Here is a 27,129-nt window from a genome sequence, read left to right on the forward strand (position 1 = left end):
CTGGTTCACGCCATTCTCCTGCCTCAGCCTCCTGAGTAGCTGGGACTACAGGTGCCCACCACTACGCCCAGCTAATTTTTTTGTATTTTCAGTAGAGACAGGGTTTCACTGTTAGCCAGGATGGTCTTGATCTCCTGACCTTGTGATCCGCCCATCTCGGCCTCCCAAAGTGCTGGGATTACAGGCGTGAGCCACCGTGCCCACCCTGAAATAATATTTTCTACTAGTTGATGTAACTCAAAATAGAATTAGAACTTTTATTTTCTAAACTATTATTTCTGTCCCCTACTCTCCTCCTTTCCCTCCCACCCCTGAGGAAACAAATATCTATGAGCTAGCTGACTTGAGTCTCTGCTTGCAGTTGACCTCCAGAAGTCAGCAGAGATGTCCTAAAGATTGAAGACTGTAACTAATGCCAGTAGCCTGTTACTCTTCTTGTCAACAAGGACTATTAGCCTCCTACTTTGTCAGTCAGTTGTTGACTGGTGTTTAGCTGAGAAGTGGAGGAGGAAGTTGAGGACCCATGATAGTCTAGGTAAAATGCATGATAATCTAGGGAAAATGAACACAAGAATTTTGGCATGTAAAGCTTTTGGGATTAAAAAGTTTGAAGGTATGCACTAAGTCGATTTCTGTGTGAATAAAAGTTGAAGTTTTCAAATTTTTCATTCTGCAATTTTGAAAGATTTCTCTGATGATCCCATAGATGTCATCACCCACCAAGAGTGCAATATATATACATACAGACACACAATCCATCTTTCTATCTCTATCTATTCTTGTCGACTCAAAAACCAGACAAATGAAGTGCAGAGGGAAGAAGGCCAGCTTGCCGTTTGGAATTCCAAAGATGGGTATATCAGAAAATGCTCTATTTATGAAACACATGCTTCTTTATTTGGGGTGGTAGCATCAACAAGGTTTGTGGACAATTTCAAAGAAAATATGAGCAGAGGTTCAAGAGCTGCTGAAGAAAATCACCCAAGTTTGAGAGTAGGCGTCAATCAATACATAGTTGATCTCTAGGTGCAGTTGTACCTTCAGTGCCCAGCCAATGATCCTGCCTTCCATGTTACAGAATAAACTTGAGCTACCAAGTGTGCAATATCCATCCCTATGTCTAGGGACCCATCTGCACAAATGCTCAGCTCCACCTTATTTCCTACAGTCTCAAAAGAATTTGTGCTGCTTTTCCTGGAATTGTTCTCTTAGTCACTCCCATGGCCTATTTTTAAAAGTTCCCTCATTATTCACTCTTTCCCAGCAGCCAAAGTGTGCTCAAAACAACTATTAAGTGAATAAATGAATGAATCCATCAATCAATTAAATGAAACACTCAATCTTGGAGCTATGTCTGGCTACTAGTTATTAAAATGCTCCCAATATAGCCAAACTGCTAGAAAGAATATTCCACATTGACTATCTCTGCTTCCTTATGTTCCATTTATTTTTAACCTACTTCAAGTAATGTAGGCTTTCCTCTAAATTATTCCACTGAAATTACTACAAATGTACCAATTCCTGGTTTTCAGTCCTTATTTACTTGACTTCTTAGCTGTGTTTGATAAAGCTGATAACTTTCTTCTAGAAACCTTGTCTCCCTAGGCTTTTCCTCCTCAGTCTGCATCTCTTCCTGATCATTTCTCCTTGGTGTCTTTTGTGGATTTCTCTTCCTCTGCTCACTACTCATGTTGGCTAGCATGGAAATCTTGTCTTGTCTCCTCTTGTTCTCTTCCAGCTATTCTCCTTGAATGATAGAACCCACCATAATATACACAGATAGCTCCCAAACTATTCTCCTGCATCTCCAATTTTGTTATCAGACACTGCCATTTGGATGTTGCAAAAACTCAACATATTTTCAAACTCAACTCATTTTCTTTTTCATAAACTCTTCTCTTCCTCCTGAATTACTTTTCTTTCTCCTGGGTTACAAAAAAAAAGTGATGTTATCATCTACCTAGTTACCTAAATCAGAAACTGGGCATAAACCTTAAACTTCATTTCCTCTTTCAATATCTAATAAATGCCCAAGTTTTGTCAGTTTCATATCCTGATGTCTCCCATCAGCATCAGTTTCTTTCAGTCTATACTGCCATTACTGCATTCGTTCATGCTCACTGTATCTGATCAAGCATACCACAATACCCTCCTGACTCCAACCAGCCTCCCATCCAACCTATACTCCCACTGTTTCCGGGGTAATATCACTGAATCTCATAGCCGATCAAATCACTCACATCTTCAAGTCCTTCTATGGGTCCCTAATTAACTATGGAATGAATAACTCCTTGGCAAGGCATAGAAGACCCTATGTCTCACTATTCTCTCTTGTCCTAACCTCCTCTCCCCAAGTTCACCCTTCACGTTCCTCACTCCCTATGCTTCTTATGCTTCTCAAAAGCCAGTACTTCCATTCATCCTCCTGGAATGCCCTTCTTTCCACTGTCTATTGTCTTCTTGAATGGTACCTACTCTTTTTCAAGACTTGCTTCCAGCATCAGTTTCTCAAAAACAAAAACAAAATAATCTCAAAGCCCTTGCTAAAGAAAGTGCACGCCCTACCCGCAAGAAACATCATGGATATCACTTGGGAACTTGTTAAAAATGCAGGATCTCAGGCTCCACCCTAGGCCTTCTGAAATATAATCTGCTTCTTAACAAGATTTAAAAAAAAAACTGGTGCATGTTAAAATTTGAGATGCCTTGCTGTAGGAAGAAGTGACCATTCCTATCCTCCTAATGTACCTATTATATGCATTTTCCCATTTCATCCTTACAGCACCCCCTTGAAATAGGTATTATCATTCACATCCTACAAAGGAAAAAAAAAAGAAGTTGAAGGTGTAATCACACAGCTACTAAGTCTTAGACCTAGGATTTTTAACCTAGTTTTGCCTCTATAGTCCATGTTCTTGGTTTATCCTGAGATACTCCGTAATATAATAGAACTTAAGTTATTTTCATGCTGTCTATCTGTAATATAGACAATGCTCATTGGAGAAAGAATTATATCATTTCCCCACAACCCCTGGAACATAGTAGAAACATAATAAATGTTAGTCAAGTATTTGAATGTTATCAAAAGTATAGAAGATGGGCTGCATTTGTGAGGCTGTTGGTAGTGTAGGCATGAGAGCCTTCCCCAAGAATTGCTTCATTTACCTTTTTCCGTGGGCCATTTTTCCGACATTTGTTCTTGACAAAGTCAAATGAAAGAAAAGACTTTATTTGCACATTTTCAAACAAGTCATATGACATGTTTCCAACTTGGAATTGTCATACGGAATGAGCAGTCCATGTGCACGTAAACCAATATCCTTATCATCAATCTTCAGCCAACTGCTGTGGTTAAAGCAATGGTGTAAATACCCACAGACTGGCTCAGGAGGGGCTGTGACTGAGCCTCTCATTCCAGCCCTTTCTTTCAAAGAACAAAGGAGGGACCTCAAGAGAAATAAGACTCAATGACAGAGATTGCTGAGGGGCTTGGTTTCCCCCGTAGAGAGAAATGAGCCTTCTGGCAAGGCCAGGTCTCTGCCTCGTTGTGCCTTCCACCTCAGGGTCAGGAAGCTACAGTCGAAAACACATTATCTATGGCTTTGCATTATTTCTCCGAAAGTTTAGTAAAGTTCTTTTTGAAAAGTTTCTACTCTCTCCCAGTGGACACTAAAGGGAAGGGACTTTATCCACAGCCAGGACAAGATAAATCAGCCATACAGCGAATCTAGACACCGGACACAGGAAGCAGTGACTCCTAAGATGGAGCTCTGGAGAAAGCAGAGGGGTAGCAGTTGGGCTGACACTGAATTAAGGATGAGCTGAGCAACACTTCTGGTTCTGCCTTTAACTTTCACAAATCATCTTTTGGGTTTGCTTTTGTCAAGGTAACTGATGTTTAACTGATAAAGTTACAATAAAGAAGCAGAATATCAAATCCCTTGCTGAGGCAAGGGACGTAAGAAGTAGAAGGAGACATAAGTGTTAGGAGGAATATTAATAATAGCATGAAATCCAGTTCCTTTTTGTGATTTCTATCAGCTTAGAACTGCTGACAGTAAAGAAAGCAGCGTACCTCTGAAATGACTTTGCAGATCGAGCTTCTTAATTCATTCTACTACCCCTAATTGCTTTCTCTAACACGGTGATAGGCCCCTACAGGAGTTTTAAATATTTTGTGCTTCAATAGCAAGAAAATGTGCCATGTAGTTTATAGACATTAGTGTGGCTACTTTCTTCTTCACTGTATTTTGAAATTTGAACACAACAGAGTTTTCAGAGTAGTATTAGATCCCCAAGCAAGTCTCTTGTAAGTGAGGTTTTCATTTTCCCCTTCCTGAAGCTTCCTTTCTTTTATTATAAAGGTCAGCATTGAGGCTTTCCCAGTTAACTGATGAAGACATCCAGCAACATGGAACACCTTGGTTATTTAACCCTTGACCCTCTCCAGCAGAAATTCCTGATTAGCTTCAGCCTGGACAGTCTCATCACACCTCCCTGAACACATGTTGCTTATTTGTTATCTGTACCTTGGTTCAAGTTCTCCCTCCTATTTTGAGTGTTGTGTCCTTTCCCTCCCTTCCTTCTATCCAGCTTACTCCCACACTTCAGGGGAAATGACACCTCCTCCATTGTGTCTTACTCACTGGCTCCTACCCACATGTACCTCCTTTTCTGAACTCTTATTCCATGAGTGGCCCTATGTCTTAGCACTTAATCTCCTATAAACCATGCTAATAAAATGGATGTGGTGCTCCTGGCTAAATGTATCCAGTCAGACTTGGCTGTACTTCCTTCTGGCCAGAGGAATGAAATGCCTTGTGGTAACAATTCATCTTACAGAATACAGTTTTCTGTTATTTAACTCACAGCAGACTGGGATTCTAGAGGGCAGCAACTCTGGCTCATTCTTCTCTGTAGCCTCCTTGGTATCCAGCACAGGCTGGATACTCACCTAGAAGCAGTCATTGAATTCATTTGGAATCTAAGAAACCTCGACATAGTCTAAACAGCTTTAGTGCAATTGAATGAACATGTAGAAAGTAAGTGAAGTCACTGTGATCCACAGCGTGGTCAGGACTTAATTCTGGAATAGGAGGTTTCACGGATAGACCACCATGGTGTTCAAACAACATGGGTGTATTGGTGGCAACCATGTCTCAGCTGGGGATGGCAAAGTGGGTAGAGAGAGATGAAGCCTGGTGAGGGTAGAAATGTGGTTGCTGGCTGCCTACTCACTTGGGTTGTACCTTCACAAGAACTAGTGCTTAGGAAACTCCTGAACAGGGATAATAAGTCTGTTTGTCTTGGATGCCAACACGAATTGATTTATGTTGACTGCCTGAAGCACTCTGTTGAAAAGAATTGAAAAATACCATATGGGATCAGTGGAACAGAACGCCATAATTAACCTGCAATGTGGCATTGGCATGTCTATGTGCTGACCCTGACCTTGATGCTATGAAGTAATAGAAAAATCCAAGACGGGTCTCTGCCCACGGAGATTTACAATCCGACTGGGGAAATAATATATTCATCATATAATTAGTGAACAAAATATTAGAGTGCTAAATTGTGGAACAGAGATGATGTTAAAGTGACATGTAAAATGTAAAATTTATGGCAGAATAATCAAATAAATGCAAGGGGAAGAGTAGATGAATGTGGGCTGAAAAGGTCAGGAAAAATTTGTGTAGGAAAAAGGCCTAAGCTGAGCCCTTCTCAGAGGAATGAGGTTGAGGGAGGGATGGGTGAAGGGAGAGAAATAATGATACTCCCATTGAGGAACTGTGTAGGGAGCAATAGGAAAGAGTGCCAGTAGGAAGGGATATGATTTGACAAGAGACAGGGTGAGAGGACTTAGCTTCTTTTAATAACTGGATGTGAACCCCATTGCCCTGATGTCCCAGCTTTACCCAAGCAGGAGAGAAGGGTAGGAACAGAGTCCCTTGTCCTTTGCCCTTGCCAAAGGTGCTGTGCTGCCTGTGGTGGCTCCATCCATGAAGAGGTGGAGCCACAAGGAAGGGCCCAGATCCCCAGAGAGAATGTGTGGTTGCTCTTGTGTATCTGGGTGAGCCCAAGGTAGAACATTTCTCTGAGAGGGGCCTGGACAGAAAAACCCACTAGAAGTGGGTAGGAGATGATTAAGCAAAAGAGTGTTCCTTCTGCAGCCTGGAAGGAGATGAAGCCCCTTCAGAGAAGGACATCAGTAATTGGACACCCAGAGGGCATCATACTCAACATTCAGGGCTTATCATTTGTGTATATATACATAAAATTGTATTTTTATTTTCACAGATTGGACACAATGAGGATGCCAATAAGCATATATGATCTATGTTTTCATAGGGAAAGTTTGAGATGTAGAGAGTTTAAATGCTTTATGGATTACAGGGTTTGTTATAGAAGAGTCCTCAAATACAGGCATGAGTTCATTACACAATAAAATATGCACTGAATCTTGTCTCTCCACTTTTTATCAACAGACAGGAAGTTTCCTTAGTAGTTAAAAGCCTGTTCTCTGAAGCCAGACTGTCTGGGTTTGAATCCTGTTTCTATCACTGCAAGATATCTAACCACACCATGCCTCAGTTCCTCATCTGTGGAATGTAGTGTCTACATCACAGGGGTGCTGTAAGGCTTAAAATGGAAAATGCTCAGAAAAGAACTTCACACATTGTAAGTACTAGAGTGTTAGCTATTATTTGTGACTGGAGGAAGTAAAGGAAGAAAAGAGAGGGCATGAATATATGTCTTCATATTGCATCTTTGAAACTAACTGTTCCTGTTTTGGAAACTAAGTCATTAAATAGTCCAGAAATAGTCTACAACCTGAAGATTCTCTAACTGAACACATTGTGCTATTTATTTCCAAGATAGGTGCAGAGTTCAGGGATAGAAAAGAGAAAGATCTTTTGATAACATTCACTGGTAAAGTGAGAACTCCCTAATAGCCAGAAAATAAATGGATAAAATGCTACATGTCTCAAAATTTGAAAATGTGGATTTTTTTGGTCCCAATTTTTCACTTTCCCATGGATGCTAAAGGCAATAGACCTGCTCCTAGCAAAAACTACCATGAGGAGCTAATTTTATTTTAAATTAATTTTCATAACAGTGTATTCTTCAGGAAAGTAGAAACCATATAGTTCATTGCTTAGTTCAATTACCTAATATGACACAAGTCCTGCATAGAAGACAGTCATTTGTCCACAAAAAGGGATCTTAAAAATCCATTATAAATTTGACAGAAAAAAAAGAACAAATTTCTTTAAGACTTACATGAGGAAATATTCTAGCTGGGTAGAATTTCTCTTGTCGAAAACAAAGACAAATTGGAAAGGCTGCCATTTAAGGATAAATCATTAAGAGGCTTTCAAGATGATTACCATATATATATATTTTTTGAGATGGAGTTTTACTTTTGTCGCCCAGCTGGTGTGTAATGGAGCTTTCTCAGCTCACTGCAGCCTCCACCTCCTGGGTTGAAGCGATTCTCCTGCCTCAGCTTCCTGAGTAGCTGGAAGTACAGGCGCCTGCCACCACGCCCAGCTAATTTTTGTATTTTTAGTAGAGGTGGTGTTTTACCATGTTGGTCAGGCTGGTCTTGAACTCCTGACCTCAGGTGATCCACCCGCCTTGGCCTCCCAAAGGGCTGGGATTATAGGCGTGAGCCACCGTGCCCGGCAGCCATATTTCTAAATTGATTATCTACCTCTGAACAGATGGATTTATGTTATGTAATATTTTAATATAACCTTTAATTAAATTATCCCTAGCAGGTGATATTTTTAAATAAAGTTAATTAGTATTTTAGCAATTCAATCATGTACAACTTGTTTTTACCAATGTTATTTCCTAGTTTTCTTGAGGAGCAACAGGAAAAGGAACCCTAAACAATTGAAAGGGTAAGCTCAAGGTGTGACGCTGATTTACATTCATGAAAATGAGTTGAAAAATGTGGTACCTTTGGGTCTTGTGCTGGGCTTAGCTGAACCCCAGGACACTGACAAACAGAGTTGCTGTCTAGTTGTTTCTAACTATACTCAGCCTTTGCCAAGTTTTGGCCAGGCTAATGGAATCTTGTGGACACACAGGGTACAACATGTAGGAATCTCGGGGCCCCTTTTTCTTTTGTGTAGACACTTTCAAAGGTAGCCACAGCACACAGCAGGACTGAGACAGCTTGGAGTCTTGCTTTGTTCCCAGCAGAGGGACTTTCCTTTGGTAACGCTCCCAGGTCAGAGCTTAACTCTTCACCAACTGGAAAGCTGGTTGTGTTTCTTCTTTTGTTTGCTTTTTTTCTTCTTCTTTCATTCCCACTCCTTACCCCAAACATATTCCTGAGGAAATTATGATCCTTCAGGTTGTTTTACAAAGTTAACCTCTCAGGAGACTCTGCAAAACATGCAAAAGGGATATCATACTTTTTTGCTTAATTTTCACCTTTAGAATTTAAAACCGATGAACTGTAAATCCTTTTAGGGGAAAATTTAAATAACACTTATTTTATGTATATTTGGAAGCACAGGGTAATTTTTTAAGGAAGAAGGGGAAAAATTAATGAAGGTGTAAGAGGGAATCACAAAGACAAATTAAAAAGTTTTTAAGTATACCATAGTTAAGCAGCATGCCTGATTCCACATATGTGGTTTATATGTGCACATTGGGTCAGATGATGTCATTCAATCTCAAAAGCTGCATAAAATAGAAGCCTGATGTACCCTATTTATCCAATCAGAAAGTACATATCTTTCTCACATTCTATTGGGTAATGACATTGCACTGTATTTAAAAGAGACTTTAGGCCAGGCGCAGTGGCTCACGTCTGTAATCCCAGCACTCTGGGAGGCCGAGGTGGGCGGATCACTTGAGGTCAGGAGTTTGAGACCAGACTGGCCAACATGGTGAAACCTCATCTCAACTAAAATTACAAAAATTAGCTAGGTGCAGTAGTGGGCGCCTGTAATCCCAGCTACTTGGTAGGCTGAGACAGGAGAATCCCTTGAACCCAGGAGGCAGAGGTTACAATGAGCTGAGATCATGCCACTACACTCCAGCCTGGGTGACAGAGCGAGACTCTGTCTCAAAATTAATAAAAATAAAAAAATAAAAATAAATAAAAGAGACTTTAGAGGACCAATGATTTTAGACAACCAATAAAGGATTAGTCATGCTGGTTGCTTTGCTGATCAGTTCTTCTTAGTCAAAATGGTCAAATAAGTGTAAATGTGGCTTTGTGTAATGCATCTTCCTTCCCTGGAAACAGTCATTATAAGAATGCTCAAGATCCTGCCACAGCTATCTAACCAGGGTTTATGCACAAGGCACAGAGTTTGGCTCTAAAGAGCATGGTGCGTGCATGACTTTGGTGACTCACAGTCGGGGGTAGATCTAATGGATGAATGTAAGGATGGGCAATTTAAGCCATTGTGCCAACATGGCATATGGAATGATTCTGAGAGAGTGTGATAGGGCCAACCCAAGGCAGAGCTCTAGCCGAGAGGGTGTGTTTGTCTTTAGAGCCCCGACTTTCTTGATGCTGTCTTCTGTATCATCTGGCTATCAACTTAACCCTGCATGTAATTAGCCTGTGATAATGGAGTCAGAAGATAAATGGCTTAAAAGGGTCTTGGCACAGTTTATTTCATCGTAAAGGAGAACACCTGACAGTGGGCAGAATCTTACCCCCTTCATGCGAGGAAGAAAAATCAACCATTGGCAATCCAAAAATGTCTGATTGTGCACTGCTAGGTGTGTGTTCCTGTGGGAGTTACCTGGGGGTTACAGAAAAGTACAAGGTACAGCTCTGCCCTCCTGGAACTTACAACTTAGGTGTGGACAAAAACACCACATTGAAGCTGTAACACTTAGTACAGAGCCACATGAGGGAAATGTAAACTAAATAGCACAGGCCATAAGTGCCAAAGGAGTGGTGACGAAATGATGGTTTCTCACAGCTGCTTAACGGGATGAGATCAAAATAGGGATCAACTGATTATCATCGCAGGAGGAAAAAAAAACCGAAACCATAATTCAAACATTTCATGGACACTAGAGAAAAAAATATAAAGAACTATGGGGAGTGTAATAATTGTCTATTTTGTCAATCTTTCAATAGGATTCTTTTTTTTTTCTTTTAAAATAGAAATGTTTTAACTACCTTGACAGACTAAACTTACATGGGCATTTGAACATGGAGGAAAAGAAGTAAGAGTGTTTGGGGTTAAAACATCAATATGAAATGTATTACAAAAAGAAGATTCTTTTATGAAAGGCTTCTAAAGTTGTCTTACATTTCTTAAATCAATCTGTAGCACATAATCAGTAAAACCGTGTCATTTAAACAGAAGATCATAACTTAGAAACTCACCCTTATGCATCTGTATCCTATTATGGGCTGTAACTTAACACATGAGTTTCAGAAGTTGTTAAAATTGAGTTCAGACTAACAAATCTTAACTGTTAAAAACAACAGCAACCACCACCAAAGACCTCTGGTGAGATGGGAGAGCAGTCAATGAAGAGGTCCCAGATTTGATCTCACAGGATAGGTGTCTATCATATTTATTTTGATCTGTTAAATCTTACTTTTCTATGAGAAATAAATGTACTAGGACAGATAAAGCCATAAAGTGATCAAGAAGCTACCTATTTTTTCCAGTTTGAAAACCTGTCTTCTAGGGTTGAGACTTTTATACATTTAACTTTAAACTCTGTCAAATGTATATTTACTGAAAAAAAAAAAGAACCAGCTCTTATGCCATTGATAGCTGTACTAAAATTTATATTTCTTCCTTAGTATAAATTCAAATAAAAATAATTAGGCCCTATGATAAATAAAGTAAAATTAGCATTTGAATAGGCTTCAGTCAAACAGACATCCATAGTTTAGATGCTAAAATTAGCAGAGTTCAAATTACTGTAATTAAGATGCACTCATTATTTTAAAATAAGCTAGCAAGCACTATAGGGTTTATTTTTGTTTGGCTTTTTTTTGTGGTTTTAAACTGTATTTTTTCAGGGGTGGTGGAATGCAATGCAATATGTATAGGGATTTTACTGCACAAGAATCTTCAGCCTTTACATCCTACTCCATTCCTTTCTGTGAAATGTGAAAACTATAAATTTATTGATTTCACATAACTGTACTAAAAAGCATGGGGTGGATAAAGTACTTGACTCCTGAGGATTCTTGCTCTCTCATGCTGCATATAGCTAGATTCATGATTACTAAGATGTTTTTAATAGCCCTGTAGTCTGGTCCAGTTTTTCCAAAGGGCAAAAAACGTACTCTTTGAAGTAAAGTATTCACCTATCTGATATAAATAAAACCTTTCATGCAGAAAAATGTTCTCCCAAATGGAAGAGTTAATGCACCTCAAATATGTGAGAAATTTGCTTCCAATTTTTCAACGCTTAGTAAAGGATCCATCTTACTTTTTCATTATAAAATTTGGGAAAAAATCTCAGTGAAATCTTACATGTCACTTCATAAGTCAATGCTAGAAACCAACTCATTCTCATGGCTACAGTGACAATTAAGATACTTTTTAAACAATCTTTTTGAGAAAGTTTGCCCTGATTTTGGCCTTCAGTCAGTGAAAGTGGTTTCTCCTCATAGGCATGTTTGACATTTACAAATCTTGCATCTTGTCTGAGTTGGCAAATGGTTTCTTGCTAAGAAAAAGCTGCAGTGTTCCCTAACTTAGGTATTCGGATGTGTACCTCTAACCAATGTCAATATAAACTTTTCCGCAACGCAACATAAGGCCATAAACTTCCAGAACTAATTTACTGTTAACTCCAATGGCTCCCTATTGCCGGCATGTCAGCATGACCCAACCTGCCTCCTCAGTCTGTCTCTGCCTCCCCCAGCACATGGTTCTTGTATTGCCCAGTTTGTCTTTGGACAAGCTGTTCTATCTCATCAAAAATTATCTGCCCCTCACCACTTTCTTGTCACACTTCTGTTCAAATGTGATTATTTAATGGGCTCCCTCTATGCTCCTGGTAGAGTTCCTTTTTCTCCCCTCTGTTTTCCTAACAGATATAAGTCGAGCATCCCAAATCCAAAAACCTAAAATCCAGAATGTTCCAAAATCCAGAACATTTAATTGCTGACATGAGACTCCAAGGAAATGTTCATTGAAGCATTTCAGATTTCAGATTTTCAGATTTGGGGTGCTAAAGTATATATAATGCAAATATTCTGAAATCCAAAAATAATCTGAAATCTACAACACTTCTGGTCCCAAGCATTTCAGATAAGGCATACTCAACCTGTACTGCTATTACAACACTAATGACATGGTAACTAGCACTTCTGAGAGGCAATGTCTCATAGTGTTTCAAGGTAAGGAGTTGGAAGACAGAATTTGATTCCTGGCTCTATCACATACTAGCTGTGTGACCTTGAGTGACCTTGGGCACGTCATTTTAACCTCTGTGTGCCTCAGTTTCCTCACCTCTAACAACAATTGTACCTACATTACTAGCTTACTGTGAAGAATAAATGTTTCTAGTACAGTGCCTATCACATGATGAGGACTTGATGTCTTAGCCTTACTATTAAATGGTTGAAGAAAGAGCTCAAAGATGGCAGATAAATGTATTGTGCTCTTGTAATATGAAGAGTTAACACTCAGATTAGGATCTGAAAGCATAGCTATCTTGAAGTCATGTGGTGATTTCTTTTGAGAAAGTACGCAAGGAATTGTCAAACAGTGGCAAATGAATAGTAAGTTAACACACTTCTTCAAAAGAGTGGACAGGGGCTGCTTTTAGGATAGCTCAGCTTTGGTTGTGATGCATGACACATGAAACGAAATTGGATATTGCACAAAGCCAAGAATGGAAAGCAATATGGAGACAAGCTATACTTTGCAGAGATTCTGCCTGGTAGTGTGGAGACTTCCAGTGCTACTTGTTTTAAAATAGAGACATTTATGCAGGGGAGAACAGTCCAGTGTCAGCTTAGATGAACAAATTTCAAATTGGGAGTCCATCTTATTTAAAACCTCTTTCCATTATTTTTCATATGAAATGTGAAATAGGGAAAAGGAAAAAAGTGTTATGGAATTTATTTCCTTCTAGAAGAGAAAATAAAAAAAGAAACAAATCACAACTATTGCCAGATGAACGCCTTGTATAAAATAAAATGACAGGTTTAATGTATTGCAAAATACCATTTGAAGAGCTTCCTCATCTGAGAAAGCATTTGAATTTTATTTCTTTAAATGAATGTAACTATTCCCATGTGCATCTGTTTCAGACCAGAAAACTCTCTGGGTGCTTTTTCTAACCAACTTGAAGAGAAAATTCAGTTACTATTGCTTGTTTTTAAGCAAATCAAAAGCCAACTGAGGGCAATAAATGAATTGCATGATCATTTACACTCCCTGGATTATGTATAACCAAAGAGTGAAGAGAGAAAAACTGTGTTTGCATTCATGGAAGATAAATTAAGAAAAAATTTAAAAGTGTTTTGTGTGTGCATGTGTGTGTGTTTGTGTGTTTGTGTGTGTTTATTCTTTTGTTCAACTGGGCTGGGTTTTAAAAATTCTTGGATCAGCTTTCATCTTGTAGGAAAGTAAGGTAGCAATTTTTCTTAAGGAATTGGCAGTGATGTGCTCAAGTGCTCAGCTCTTTCCTTCTGGCAGAAAGAGCTTGGAGCAGGTTAGAGTGGAGGAGGAGCCAGCAGTGACTAGGAGGAGAGGGGACTGCTCAGAACCTGCCATTCAAGGCTGGTGGCAGCTTTTTACAGGCTGCCAATAGGAGTGTGGTGGCAGCAACTTATGGGTATGCCAAAGAAAATGGGACCATATGCCAAACTCTGGCGTGTGCAGCACCTACAGCTTGCCAGGGCAATGGCATAGGCTCCAGACAGACTTTTAATGTCCTGTCCCAGAAAGTAAGCAGCCCATTCCCACTTATTCCACGAGATTGGTAAGTGGTTGGATGTTTTAAAGTTAGGAAAACTCCTGGTACAGAAATGTGCCATTTGGCTTACTGTCATTTAGTCATTTTTCAGATTAGAAAAGAAGGGAGAGAATCGGCAGTTTAATATTCACGTCTATTAAGCCATGCAAGCAGTTGCCGAGTAGCAGTCCATTCTAGGGTAAACAGGCAATGCTCTCTGGTCAAATATAGGTTCTATGTTAATGAATGAAATATATAAAACAGGACACTTATTTGTTCTCCCATATAAAAGAAGTCCTGCAAAGTCCTGGATGACAGAACTTAATGTATGCTTTATTGTAATCCTTTTTCTAGTCTATCTTCTTTTCTAAACTGTAAACAATCGCAGCAATTTAGTTCAGCTAAAAAATGAGCTATACAGTTTCACATTTGAACTTATTAAGTTTTCAATGGGCCAGTGAAAAACGTCCCCCCTATTTTTTTTTTAACTGCTTCCCCTATTTAAATGCTCAGCATAAGAACCCTGGTCCTATACAATTTATCCAAAGCTTGGGCAGCCCGAGAGCCCTTTTATCCCTCACTAGTGAATCAGTTCTATTGTAGGAGAGAGACATTCTTTCCTCCCCTTTTCGCTTAAAAAACATAACAAACCTGAATAGACTCCAGGCTAGAGTAGTGGAGAGAGTGATTTTTATTAGATCTAACATAGTTATTGGCAAATGCCTAAAGACAATATTTAAAAAGAGAGCTAGAGAAAGAAAAGGCTTTCACTTTATGCCTTAAAGGACAGATTGGTTACAATTTAACATCTAAGAGGAAAAATTTATAGAATTAAATGGCCTAACATTCCTCTTTCTTCAACATACATATGAGAAATCTAAGCTAAGAGGACATCTGGAATGGAACGTTATTCAGCAATCAGAAAGCAAAAATTCAAACCATTGATGTTTTGATGGAGACAAACACAACTAGATTCACAAAGAGGAAAGCTGCAACCTATTGAAGTTAAAAAAAATTCCATATGCATTTTACCTTTTGGGCAGTTCTATTTCAGAAGCCCTTTGTAATATGAAACCCACTGTAGATAAGATACAACATGAAGATAGTCTGTTTTGCAGCAGCAGGAAATCAAATTGGTTCCAGAAACGAAGTTATATGACAAATGGTTTAATAGTATTGCTAGAATTGGAAATCTTGATTGAATTATTTTTAAATCATTAAAAAAAAGATTTTGAAATAACTTTGCCATGCTGTATAAATTGGTGATGGTGGTAGGGGGTCCACACAGGGAGTGTTGCTGAGGTTAGGAGGCATCTCATTTTATTGGCCTTTTAACTAAAGCATTATAATCTGTTATCAAAATTTAAAAGTTCAGTGGTGATTTACTGTTAATTCTGGTTTGCAACAAATATTTTCAGACAAACACGATACTTGAATTAACATAGCTAATATGTGTTGTGGAGTATTAAACAGGTTAACAAATATTGATATATTCTAGTATCATTTCCAAATTATTTTTAGGTTTAATCTCAACACCAGTCAGCTTTGCTTTACTTAAAAAGCATCAGAAAAAGTTCATTAAGTCTTAGGCAGGTCTTGGATTGTAGAAGAGACTTCTAAGTAGTTAGCAAGATGTATCACTGACAGAATAACCCAGTGCCTAATGCCTGTAGGTGAAATGAAATCGTTCTTCTGGCTGAAGTCAGGAACAAGTTAAAATATCACTTAGAACACAGCATACGACTGCAGAGATTTAGGAGAAATCTTACTTAAATAGGATGTGACTTGACGTTTAGGACTATTTTCTAAAAAGTCAAAAAACTTTTCCCCCTTCAGTACTTACAGTCTTTGAAGACTAGAGCCGGATCTCTGTGAGGCAAGACTTGGGCAATGATGTGTCTCAGAGATTCCAAGGTTCTGTCCATCTTGGGTCTGCCTGTGTGAGCCTCCTGTACAGAGTGTCCTCATGCCTGAATTCTTGCAGTCCTGGGCTGAATTTCTGCAGCTCATTGATGCACTGGATTACCAAGGAATCCCTTTTAACATCTGCCAATCAGACATTTCCCAGAATCTAAAGACCCCTCAGGGGGCCCTCTTCCCAGGCTCACTTATCTTTGTTGTATGCTGAGCTAATTAGCTCGAAAGGCTGGCTGACAGGCGGGTTCCCATTGCTTTCTTCTGTTAAACACACCCACCTACAGGCTAGCTGGGGAAGCTCGCTAAATTATGAAAACAGCTTTCCTCTCCAACCAGATTTTGTCTGAATGCTGTGCAGCTTTCTGACTTGAGTATTTCTTCTGGCCCTCCATCTTCAATTGTGTTGCCCCCAGGAATATGGAATCAGGAAGGTTATTTCTCCAGGAAATTTCCTGAATGACAAGACAGCTTCCAGCTCAGGACTGCCAGCTATATGTTAACAGTATAATCCCTATAAATCTAAATTTTCAGTGTAATTCTTCTTTGGTAAAGGAGTGCTATAAAGATTATGGGGCTGGGTGCAGTTTATCATGCCTGTAATTCCAGCACTTTGGGAGGCTGAGGCGGGCAGATCGCTTGAGCCCAAGAGTTCCAGACCAGCCTGGGCAACATGGCGAAACCCTAACTCTACAAAAAATACAAAAATTAGCTGGGTGTGGTGGTGCATGCCTGTGATCCCAGCTACTTGGAGGGCTAAGGCAGGAGGATGGTTTGAGCCTGGAAAGTCGAGGCTGCAGTGAGCCCAGATTGTGCCACTGCACTCCAGCCTTGGTGACAAAGTAAGACCCTGTCTCAATTTTTTAAAAAAATCTTTCAATAACTACCTTAAGAAACATATATGTATTTTCTCGTCCTGTTTCTTTGTTTTATTTTTCTTTTTAATAGGGTCTCATACTGTCCTCCAGGCTGGAGTGCAGTGGCGTGATCATAACTCACCGCAGCCTTGACTCAAGTGAGGGGCTTGAGCCCTGGACTCAAGCAATCTTCCCATCTCAGCACCCCAAGTAGTTGGGAGGCACACGCCACCACGCCTGGCTAATTTTTAAATTTTCTGTAGAGATGGGGTCTCACTGTGTTGCCCAGGCTGGTCTCAAACTCCTGGGCTCAAGCAATCATCCTGTCTGGGCCCCCAAAGTGCTGCGATTACAGGCGTGAGCCACTGCACCCTGCCCTGAAATTTTTAATAATTATTAAGTGAAAGGAAGTGAATTACATCAGAATTAATTAAAGTCAACCTTGGGAATGATTCACTTTGAAGGGTAAATAGGGAAACAAATGTTCCCAGGCAAGCTGTAAGACAGTCTGTCAGGTTTTACTTGCCCCTGCCCAATAGAAGTGACTAAAATTTGGGAGGGTTGTGGGGGGTAACAAGCCTTGGCTTCCAGAAGAGTGGCTCCTGAATTCAAATGCAAGGCTTAATTTAGTCCCTAGCTGTATCCTTTTTTTTTTTTTTTTTTGAGACAGAGTCTCACTTTGTCATGCAGGCTGGAGTGCAATGGCATGATCCGGGCTCACTGCAGCCTTGACTTCTCAGTCTCAAACGGTCCTCCCACCTTAGGCTTTCTAGTAGCTGGGACCACAGGCCCACGCCACCGCACCTGGCTAATTTGTGTATTTTTAGTAGAGAGGGGGTTTCACCATGTTGCCCAGGGTGGTCTCAAACTCCTGGCCTCAAGTGATCCACCCATCTCGGCCTACCAAAGTGCTAGAATTACAGGCATGAGCCACCATGCCTGGCCTTTAAAGATCTTAAGAAAACAGAAATTCTTTTTCTACCTATTCATGATCTATACTACCTGTAACACTTTGTTAAATAATCTTTCCATAGAAGACATAAATATAAGTCACAGGATTCCTTTTCCATAATAAGGATTTATACCAGATATAAAATAACTAATTTTAGTGGTTGTAACCAATGTTACTTGTTGAAGGAGGTTGTTGAGGATTGTCAAACTTTTATTTAAAATATTTTTCCAGGGTAGCCACAAAGATTGCTTTCCAGTGTTTCTTCCAATTTTCAGATTCCATAACTAGGTTGTATTTTATGATGAACTGAAAGTAGACCTTTAAAGACTGTATAAAAATGAAATACCTTCCATGTGATCAGCTTCTTCAGCTAGTTTGTAGAAGAGCAGGCTTCATAAAAGGAAATAGATGGAACCGAACTAGAATAATAATTCCTATTATACTCACTGTATTAGTTCATGCTGCTAATAAAGACATACCCAAGACTGGGTAATTTATAAAGGAAAGAGGCTTAATTGACACACAGTTCAGCATGGCTGGGGAGGCCTCAGGAAACTTACAATTATGGTGGAAGGGGAGACAAACACATCCTTCTTCACATGGCAGCAGGAAGAAGAAGTGCCAAGCAAAGAGGCAAAACTCCTTATAAAACCATCAGATCTCATGAGAACTTACTCACTATCATGAGAACAGCATGGGGGTAATCACCCCCCTGATTCAATTACCTCCCATCAGGTCCCTCACACCACACGTGGTGATTATGGGAACTACAATTCAAGATGAGATTTGGTTCCAGGTGTGGTGGCTCACACCTGTAATCCCAGCACTTTGGGAGGCCGAGGCAGGCGGGTCACCTGAGGTCAGGAGTTCGAGACCAGTCTGGCCAACATGGTGAAACTCCAGCTCTACTAAAAATACAAAAATCAGCTGGGCGTGGTGGTGCATGCCTGTAATCCCAGCTACTCGGGAGGCTGAGGCAGGAGAATTGCTTGAACCTGGGGAGGCAGAGGTTGCAGTGAGCCGAGATTGTGCTGCTGGACTCCAGCTGGGGCAACAGAGTGAGACTCTGTCTCAAAAAAAAAAAAAAAAAAAGGATGAAATTTGGGTGGGGACGCAGCCAAACCATATCATGACTATCACTTAGCAAATGCCCGCAGGGAGTATATGCCACACAGAACACAGACACAGGGTTGCCCCAGAGTGCAAAGACATTGTATAAGATAAGAACTTGAAAGAAGTGGCCCTTCATGTTAAGACATTTTCTTTAAACAGGGTCCCAAAGTGCACTTTATATGAGCTGTGCCAAATAGGAAATTGTCAATGTCCTTGCTGTCCAGGAGTTTATCATCTAAAACAGAAATTAGATGCTTTGTGGACAAAAAAGCTATTATCCATTGATTGGACACAAAGTATAAATGAAGTACTTTCAATGTGATATTGAATTGAAAACCAAGATATTTAATATCACCACTAGAGAACCAAGAAAAATGATATGGACTTCTCAAAGAAGTAAGCCTGATAATATTAAAAAAAAAAGAAATGTTTGGATTTCAGTCAATAAATGGGCATTTCTATATGCTTAAATATAATTCCAGCAGTATTTAAAAATATTTTGGTTGCATTTTGGTGAAAGCAACACTGAACGTGGGATCATTAAGACCAGGGTTTCATGTTCATTATCTATATAACCTTAAAGAAGCCACTCATTTTTGGGCTCAGAGTCCTCTTCTGTAAAATTAAGGGATTAAGCTGGATGCTCTCTTTCAGTTCTAACATACATTTTTCTATGCCTGTATTACAAATGAGCACAAATATTATCACAGATTTTTTAGCCTTCTGTAAGTTCATATATTTGTTTCCTAAGGGTGCAGTGGTCTTCAAACAAATCACTTCTATTCCCACAGTCAATCTGATTGTTATCCATTCATCAGTATGAGAGACACAAATCAATATGAGGAATTCAAAGATGTTCACTTCTAATATTAATTACAATGAAAGGTAAGAATTTGTTGAGAAAACTAATCTTCTTGCCAAGTGCAGTTGCTCACGCCTGTAATCCCACCACTTTGGGAGGCTGAGGTAGGTGGATAACCTGAGGTCAGGAGTTCGAGACCAGCCTGGCCACATAGCGAAACCCCATCTCTACTAAAAATACAAAAATTAGCTGGGCTTGGTGGCGCATGCCGTAATCCCAGCTACTCAGGAGGCTGAGGCAGGAGAATTGCTTGAACCCAGGAGGCGGAAGTTGCGGTGAGCCGAGATCGCGCCACTGCACTCCAGCCTGGGTGACAAGAGTGAGACACTGTCTCAAAAAAAAAAAAAAAAAAAAAAGAAAGAAAGAAAAAAAGAAAACTAATCTTCAATTTCCATAAGGTTTTTCTTTAAAAAGCAAACTATTGAGCATCTTCATGGAGAGCTCCAAAACAGCTTCATGAAGAGAAGTCCGTATAAATATCATGATTTTTAATGAGTTGTATTTTGAGAAATGAAAAAGGAATTCTAAGAAAGGTGGATTATACAACATTCCAGTTAGATAGCATAGTTTCTTCATTCCTATTAAGCCCAATCCTTCAGCAGAAGTTTTCTTAAAACTTTGTTTATGCATTTCCTTCTTAAATGCCCATAAAGACTTTTTACCTTAAAATGCTATTGTAAGATAGTCTAGAAAAACAACTATTTCTTACTATTCTTTATTTGATGTAAGAAGCATCTGATAGAGATGGAAGAACCTGAGAAACCCCTGAATAGTGTGTCTATTTTAGCACAAATTCTAAAGTTCACATTAGATTTCAGTGTAAACCTCAACCATCTGTTGGCATATACCAAAAACAAAAGTATTCAAACAAAGTAAAACCAAAATGATGTTTTTACAAATCTTGTCAGAGTGTACTAATCAGAGGATGAGAAATGACATACAACTGACATATTCAGTGATCAAAACTTACCACCCAATGGTAAGAAGAAGGCTCAGGGAAATAGCACATTTACCAATCTTCCAGAGAGAACAGAGTTCTTCAAGATGGGAAATCAAGGTGGTATATTTTGCATAATTTTATGCATAATGCAACAAAAAAGTAGATGGAAATAATAATTTTTCTGGTAAAAAAAAATTCATTCCTGGCCAGGCATGGTGGCTCATGCCTATAATCGCAGCACTTTGGGAGGCCGAGACGGGTGGATCCCTTGAGGTCAGGAGTTTGAGACCAGCCTGGTCAACATGGTGAAACCCCATCTCTACTAAAAATACAAAAATTAGCTGGGTGTGATGGTACATGCCTGTAATCACAGCTACTTAGGAAGCTGATGCAGGAGAATTGCTTGAACCTGGGAGGCAGAGGTTGCAGTGAGCTGAGATCTTAATTCCAGTAACAGTTTTGTTGTTAGATGGCTCATTACAGTTATAAAAATGATAAGAAGGTAGGGGCCATTTGTTAAAATAACCTGCAGAATGTTAGAAAATATAATGGATACATTGAAGAATCATCTTCAGTTAGAAACAAGAAGGAACTCTCTCATGTTGCCATAAGGTACTCTGCTCTGGAGGAAGAAGCTAAGGTAATTGAAACAGGAGAGTGGGCCTGTTGGTGAGGCTGCAGGTGAGGTTAGTGAAACTCCAGGTCCTCAAGAGATTTCAGTTCAAGACATGCAGGCTTTAAATAATAAGCCTGCAGTAACTAAGCCTGAGATGACTTATACTACTCATCTCTAGTGAATCAGGTGACTGAGAGAGGGAGTGGACCTTGATTGAGATTTAGGAAGATTATCTATCCTGAAATAATTTCTTCACTTACTTTCTAATTCTTAAAAATGTACAATTTAAGATAAAATAGATCAAATGAAAAGGAATTGGAATCAAATCATTAAATGCCTTAATATGGAGAACAAATAGTTTATGAAAACAACGGGAAATGACTGACAACAGCTCCTTTCAGATTCTAATGGGAAATGAGTGGAAGGAACTGGAAGGGTCTAAATGCAGAATTGGCAAAAGAGGGTCAAAGCTGTTGTCAGGAGTGTTTCTAAGGGTGTGTGGGAGGACGAAGAAGAAAGGCTGGGAAGAAGTTGACTTCGCAGAGGTGATAGCTAATGACTGTTTAGTGTCAGCTTTGTTTAGCCTCAACTAGGAAGAGAGCAGTAGGAGGAATGAATGGCTGTATAGCATCAACTTTGTTTACTCTCAGCTGGGAAAGAACAAGTTAAAAGAATGAACGGCTGCAGTGCTAATTTATATACTGTCAGCTTGGAAGGGACAAATGAGATGTTTGAATCAAGGTATTTATTGAGAGGGTGAGTTGGAAAGGCAACTTCAGATGGTTTCTAGGCAAAAGTTTACAAATACAAGTAACATAAAAGAACTTTATCCTAGATACTTGTTTCATTAATAGGAACTAATCTGTTGAACTACATGAAAAATAACTAGAAAATTGATTAATATCTCATCTCCAGATTACAAGAATGTACATTTCTTCAGTTTTATAGAACATTATGAAAAAACCACTAGTAAACTGCTCTTTTTCCTTGCCAATGCAAAGTCAACTCTCATAACCATAAAGCACAATGAAATTCAACCTCTCATTTATGTCAGCTTTTTGATTGGTATATATACGGGGACCCTGAATAGGTCCATGTTATCTTGATGGTCTCATATAACCAATTACCCAGAGCTGTCTTGGTATTTGGTCTCTGAGAGGAGTAAAATTGATTATTCAAGAAATACTTCAGAGGTCAAAGATACTGAGGGAGGCTTTGCTAGTTCACAGGTTAACACTTTAAGGATAAACTCAGAGTTATTTAAGTGGGAGAATTTGGATGTTCAAACTTAACAAGATTGGAGATAATGATGCCAAGCCCTTGGGTCACTGGATGTCGTTTGTGATAACTGAGCTTATTAACGATGGTTGGCTGACTTCCAGCCTAATATGTATTTTTAAAAAGATAGTTAAAACAATTTCGGTTTGTTTTTGGAGTGGATTTTGCTAGTGGCCTTTATAATGATATTTTCTCTTTCATAAAAGTTTATCTAATTATTGGTTCCTCTCCATTTTCTCAGATAGCACACACCCTTTCCAGGACAGAAATTTGTATCATTGGGTGCATAGGAAAAAACTTTATACAAAATGTGGCTGTAAAGTGATCAGATTGATTCTAAAAGAGACATTTGAATTCCAGCTGAGTTTCTGAGCTACTCCTCAAATAAAGAGAGAAGAGGTCTTCTATAAGGGGCAAGCCAAGGGATGAGACACACACCCCTTCTATGGGTTACCTAGAAAGTCACATTTCTTGGGGGTGTAAGTCATATAGAATATTTAAATTTCTGCAAAAATAATGAGCAAAGTAAAAGGAAAATCTAGACTATGCAAAAATTATTAGTTTAAAATACCTAGGAGACTATTTATTGGTTTAAACAAATGATATAAGCCTAAGATTAGTTGATGGAGATTTTGGGTTCAAGCAACCTAGTAATTTCACAGCTCCATATATTTCAGTTGAAGCTTCCTGTAAAGATTGCATCATCAGTATACTCTTAAATCAATCCAGGCTACACTTATGGATATGCTTACATTAAGATAAAAGCCTTGTGCCATCCATTTCACACTGTAAACTATAATTTCTACTTCACTTCCTATGCAGTCGCCACTAGAGTTCTACACTTAGCATGCATTCTGCTGACAAAGAAGAAACATAAAGGAGTGTTGTGCGGTAAAAAAAATTTTAAAAAAAGAACAAGCATTATTTCTCTTCAAAATCTGTTTAAAGGGGAAATAAGACACGGCATAGAAAGAGGGACCTATTTGTCCACAAATTGAAAATTGGAGAAAGACCAAATTAGAGTATATTTTCTTCTGAGCTTCTCAAGGTATCTCAATAGCCTTGAGCCCAAAAAGAAAGCAGTCCCCCAGCATTGCCCTCAAAACAAAACAAAAACCCAGGAATCTTCCACTAAGGGCTTCTGTCTATTGCGATGGGTTTTCTTGGGTGTACACTGAGAAGATAGAAAGACCTGTAATAGGAAAAAGCTTTGTTTTCTAAAAAGTGAGAAAACTTGATGGAGGATGGAATCAAAACCTGGTTGTGAATACTGTCTTCTCTCATACTTCCATGGCACCAGGAGGGCAAGTCAAATTTTATGGGCCTCCAAGACTCTGCAGAAGAGACTCCCAGGCTGAATACAAGCCTTAGGCCACTGGAATATGCTGGTTTTCCTACCATTCACCGTTTTGGTACTTATCAGTTACATTTTTTCCTCCCACTCCTTCCACCCCTTATTTACTCTATGTGATTTTGAGCAAGTACTTTTACATCTAAAGATATTTTCTCATCCCTAAAATAAGAACAAGGTGATAGAGAATCACTGTAACTACAAGTCCAATAGAATAAGGTTCTATTTCAGATTGTCTCAGCCTTAATATTTAGTCTACTAACTGGGCAACATTTTAGATTCTATTCCAAATTCCCTCAAACCCTTTCTAACATCAACAGACTAATTCCCTTAGCCCCACTCCTTCCTCATTAAAATAAAATCACTGGGCTGGGCACTATGGCTCCTGCCTGTAACCCCAGCACTTCAGGAGGCCAAGGCAGGAGGATCACTTGGGGTAAGGAGTTTGAAATCAGCCTGGGGAGCATAGTGAGACCCCATCTCTAAAAAAAAAAAAAGAATTAACTGGGTGTGGTGGTATGCATCTGTAGTCCCTGGTACTGGGGAAGCTGGGGCAGGAGGATTGCTTGAGCCTAGGAGTTTGAGGTTGCAGTGAGCTATCTTTGTTGCAGTGAGCCATGTTGTTGCAAATAACCAGATCTCATTCTTTTTTTTATGGCTGAATAGCACTGCATTGTGTATATGTACCACATATACCAGCCTGTGTGACAGGGCAAGACGTGTTTCTAAAAAAAAAAATTTTTTTTAAATACTCTGCAGTATTTTTTCAAAATCTACAGTCACTTTTTCCTAATAATCAACTTTAAAAAATATTTCAAAATAAGCTTGAATTTGGCCCTTTGCTCTCACAACACCAAAACACCATTTTCCCAATTACAGCACAGCAAACACACGACATTCATTTCTGTCTTCTGAATTTTCTGCATGATTTCCTCTTTGAAAGTTTTCTTTTTTAGTTCACCTATTCACCCAAACCTTCATTCCCCAAAACAATTCACCAAATTATGCTGCCCTTTCATTCAGACTGTGCTTGGAATTTCCCCAGCAATTATCAGTGATACCAGGCTCTTGGGTACAGCCTTCTCTATATTGTCATGTAGTTGTTCCATGTGTTTATTCTTGTCTCTCAAAAAAAACAGGGGCGGCCTCCAAGCCAGCAAAAGTTTATCGTAAAAAAAAGAAAATCTGTGTACTCTCCTCCCCAATATCACTTTATATACCCCACACACTTGAATTACTGATGTGTGAACATGTACATTTTCTTCCTAATCTAGGCCAAACCTCTTCAGCCAACAGTAGCATTATAGTAAGAGGGTTTTTTAATTCTTTTTTTTAAAGTTTTTTTTTTTTTAATTTAAAAAAATGATTTGGGGGTCTCACTATGTTGTCCAGGCTGGTCTCAAATTCCTGGGTTCAAGCCATCCTCCTACCGCAGCCTCCCAAGTAGCTGGAATTGCAGGCACATGCCATGCCTGGTGATTCATTTATTTCAAATAGTTATCTTTTCTTTTTTAAAATCTAGAAGGACATAGTCTTGTAATAAATGTCCCAAGTAATATTTTAAATATGAGGCATACTTCTACTTATGCAATTAAGTGTAAATGTTATATAAAATGTTAGTTTAAGAAATTTCTTATTTTTAATTTTTGTGAGTACATAGTAGGTGTATATATTTATGGGATACATGAGATATTTTGCTACAGGCATATGATGCATAAGAATCACATCAGGGTAAATGAGGAATTCATCAGCTCAAGCATTTACCCTTTCTTTGTGCTACAAATGATCCAATTATAGTTGTTTAGTTATTTTTAAATGTATAATAAATTATTATTGACTGTCGTCAACCTGTTGTGCTATCAAACACTAGGTCTAAATCATTCTAAGTATTCTTTGGTACCCATTAACCATCCCCATTTTTCTCCCAACCCTACCTCTCAGCCTCTAGTAACCATTGTTCTTCTCTTACCTCCTTGAGTTCAATTGTTTTAATTTTTAGCTCCTACAAATGGGTGAGAACATGTGAAGTTTGTCTTTCTGTACCTGGCTTATTTCACTCAACATAATGACCCCCACTTCCATCCATGTTTTTGCAAATGACAGGATCTCATTCTTTTTTATGGCTGAATAGCACTCCATTGTGTATATGTACCACATTTTCTTTATCCCTTCATCTGTTGATGGACACTTAGGTTGCTTCAAAATCTTAGCTATTATGAACAGTGCTGCAACAAACATGGGAGTGCGAATATCTTTTCAATATACGAATTTATTTCTTTTGGGTATATCCTTAGCAGTGGGATTGCTGGATAATATGGTAACTCTATTTTTAGATTTTGAGGAACCTCCAAACTGTTCTCCAATAGTGGTTGTATTAGTTTACATTCCCACCAACATTGTATGAGGGTTCCATTTTCTCCATATCCTTGCCAGCATTTTTTTTTTTTTAATTTGAGACAGGGTCTCACTCTATCACTCTATCACCCAGGTTGGAGAGGCTGGAGTGCAGTGACATGATCACAGCTCACTGCAGCCTGGAACTCCCAGGTTCAGGTGACCCTCCCACCTCAGTCTCCCCAGTAGCTAGGACCACAGGCATGCACCACCATGCCTGGCTAATTTTTTTTTTTTTTTTTTGTAGACAAGGTTTTGCCATGTTGCCTAGGCTGGTCTTGAATGCCTGGGCTTGAGAAATCTTTCTGCCTCGGCTTCTCAAAGTGCTGGGATTATAGGCATGAGCCACTGTGCCCAGCCCAGTGTTTGTTCTTGCCTGTCTTTTGGATAAAGGCCATTTTAACTGGAGTGAGAAGATATCTCATTGTAGTTTTGATTTACATTTCTCTGATAATCCATGATGTTGAGCACCTTTTCATACAACTGTTTGTCATTTGTATGTCTTCTTTTGAGTAATGTCTATTCAGATCTTTTGCCCATTTTTAAATCAGATTACTAAATTTTTTTTCCTATTGAGTTATTGGAGCACCTTATTTATTCTGGTTATTAATCCCTTGTCAGTTGGATAGTTTTCAAATATTTTCTACAATTCTGTGGGTTGTCTCTTCGTTTTGTTGATCGTTTCCTTTGCTGTGCAGAGGCTTTTAAATTTGATGTGATCTCATCTGTCTATTTTTACTTTGGTTGCCTGTGCTTCTGGGGTATTACTCAAGAAATCTTTGCCTATTTCAATGACCTAAAGAGTTTTCCCAATGTTTTCTTGTAGTAATTTCATAGTTTGAGGTCCTCGACTTAAGTCTTTAATTCATTTTGATTTGATTTTTGTACATGGTAAGAGGCAGGGGTCTAGTTTTTTTCTTCTGCATATGGAG

General features: G+C 39.0%; 1 protein-coding gene across 1 annotated transcript in view, besides 1 other annotated feature; it reads right to left on the minus strand.

The window, feature by feature from the left end:
• The window catches only part of LIX1 (limb and CNS expressed 1), a 50,745-nt gene extending 34,865 nt beyond the window's left edge, over window positions 1-15,880 (minus strand). The window contains exon 1 of the mRNA NM_153234.5: window positions 15,764-15,880. Coding sequence (NP_694966.3) covers window positions 15,764-15,845 — 82 coding nt within the window. The 5' untranslated portion in view covers window positions 15,846-15,880. The remainder of the gene's footprint in view (window positions 1-15,763) is intronic.
• Window positions 15,827-15,896: an enhancer, noted in NCBI's record as "active region_22830". NCBI's record gives its function as "activates an Ori minimal core promoter by ATAC-STARR-seq in GM12878 lymphoblastoid cells {active_cell/tissue: GM12878}" and the evidence as "EXISTENCE:reporter gene assay evidence [ECO:0000049][PMID:35858748]".

The sequence above is a fragment of the Homo sapiens genome, chromosome 5 (assembly GCF_000001405.40).
Source record: "Homo sapiens chromosome 5, GRCh38.p14 Primary Assembly".
In the NCBI taxonomy this organism is placed as follows: domain Eukaryota; kingdom Metazoa; phylum Chordata; class Mammalia; order Primates; family Hominidae; genus Homo; species Homo sapiens.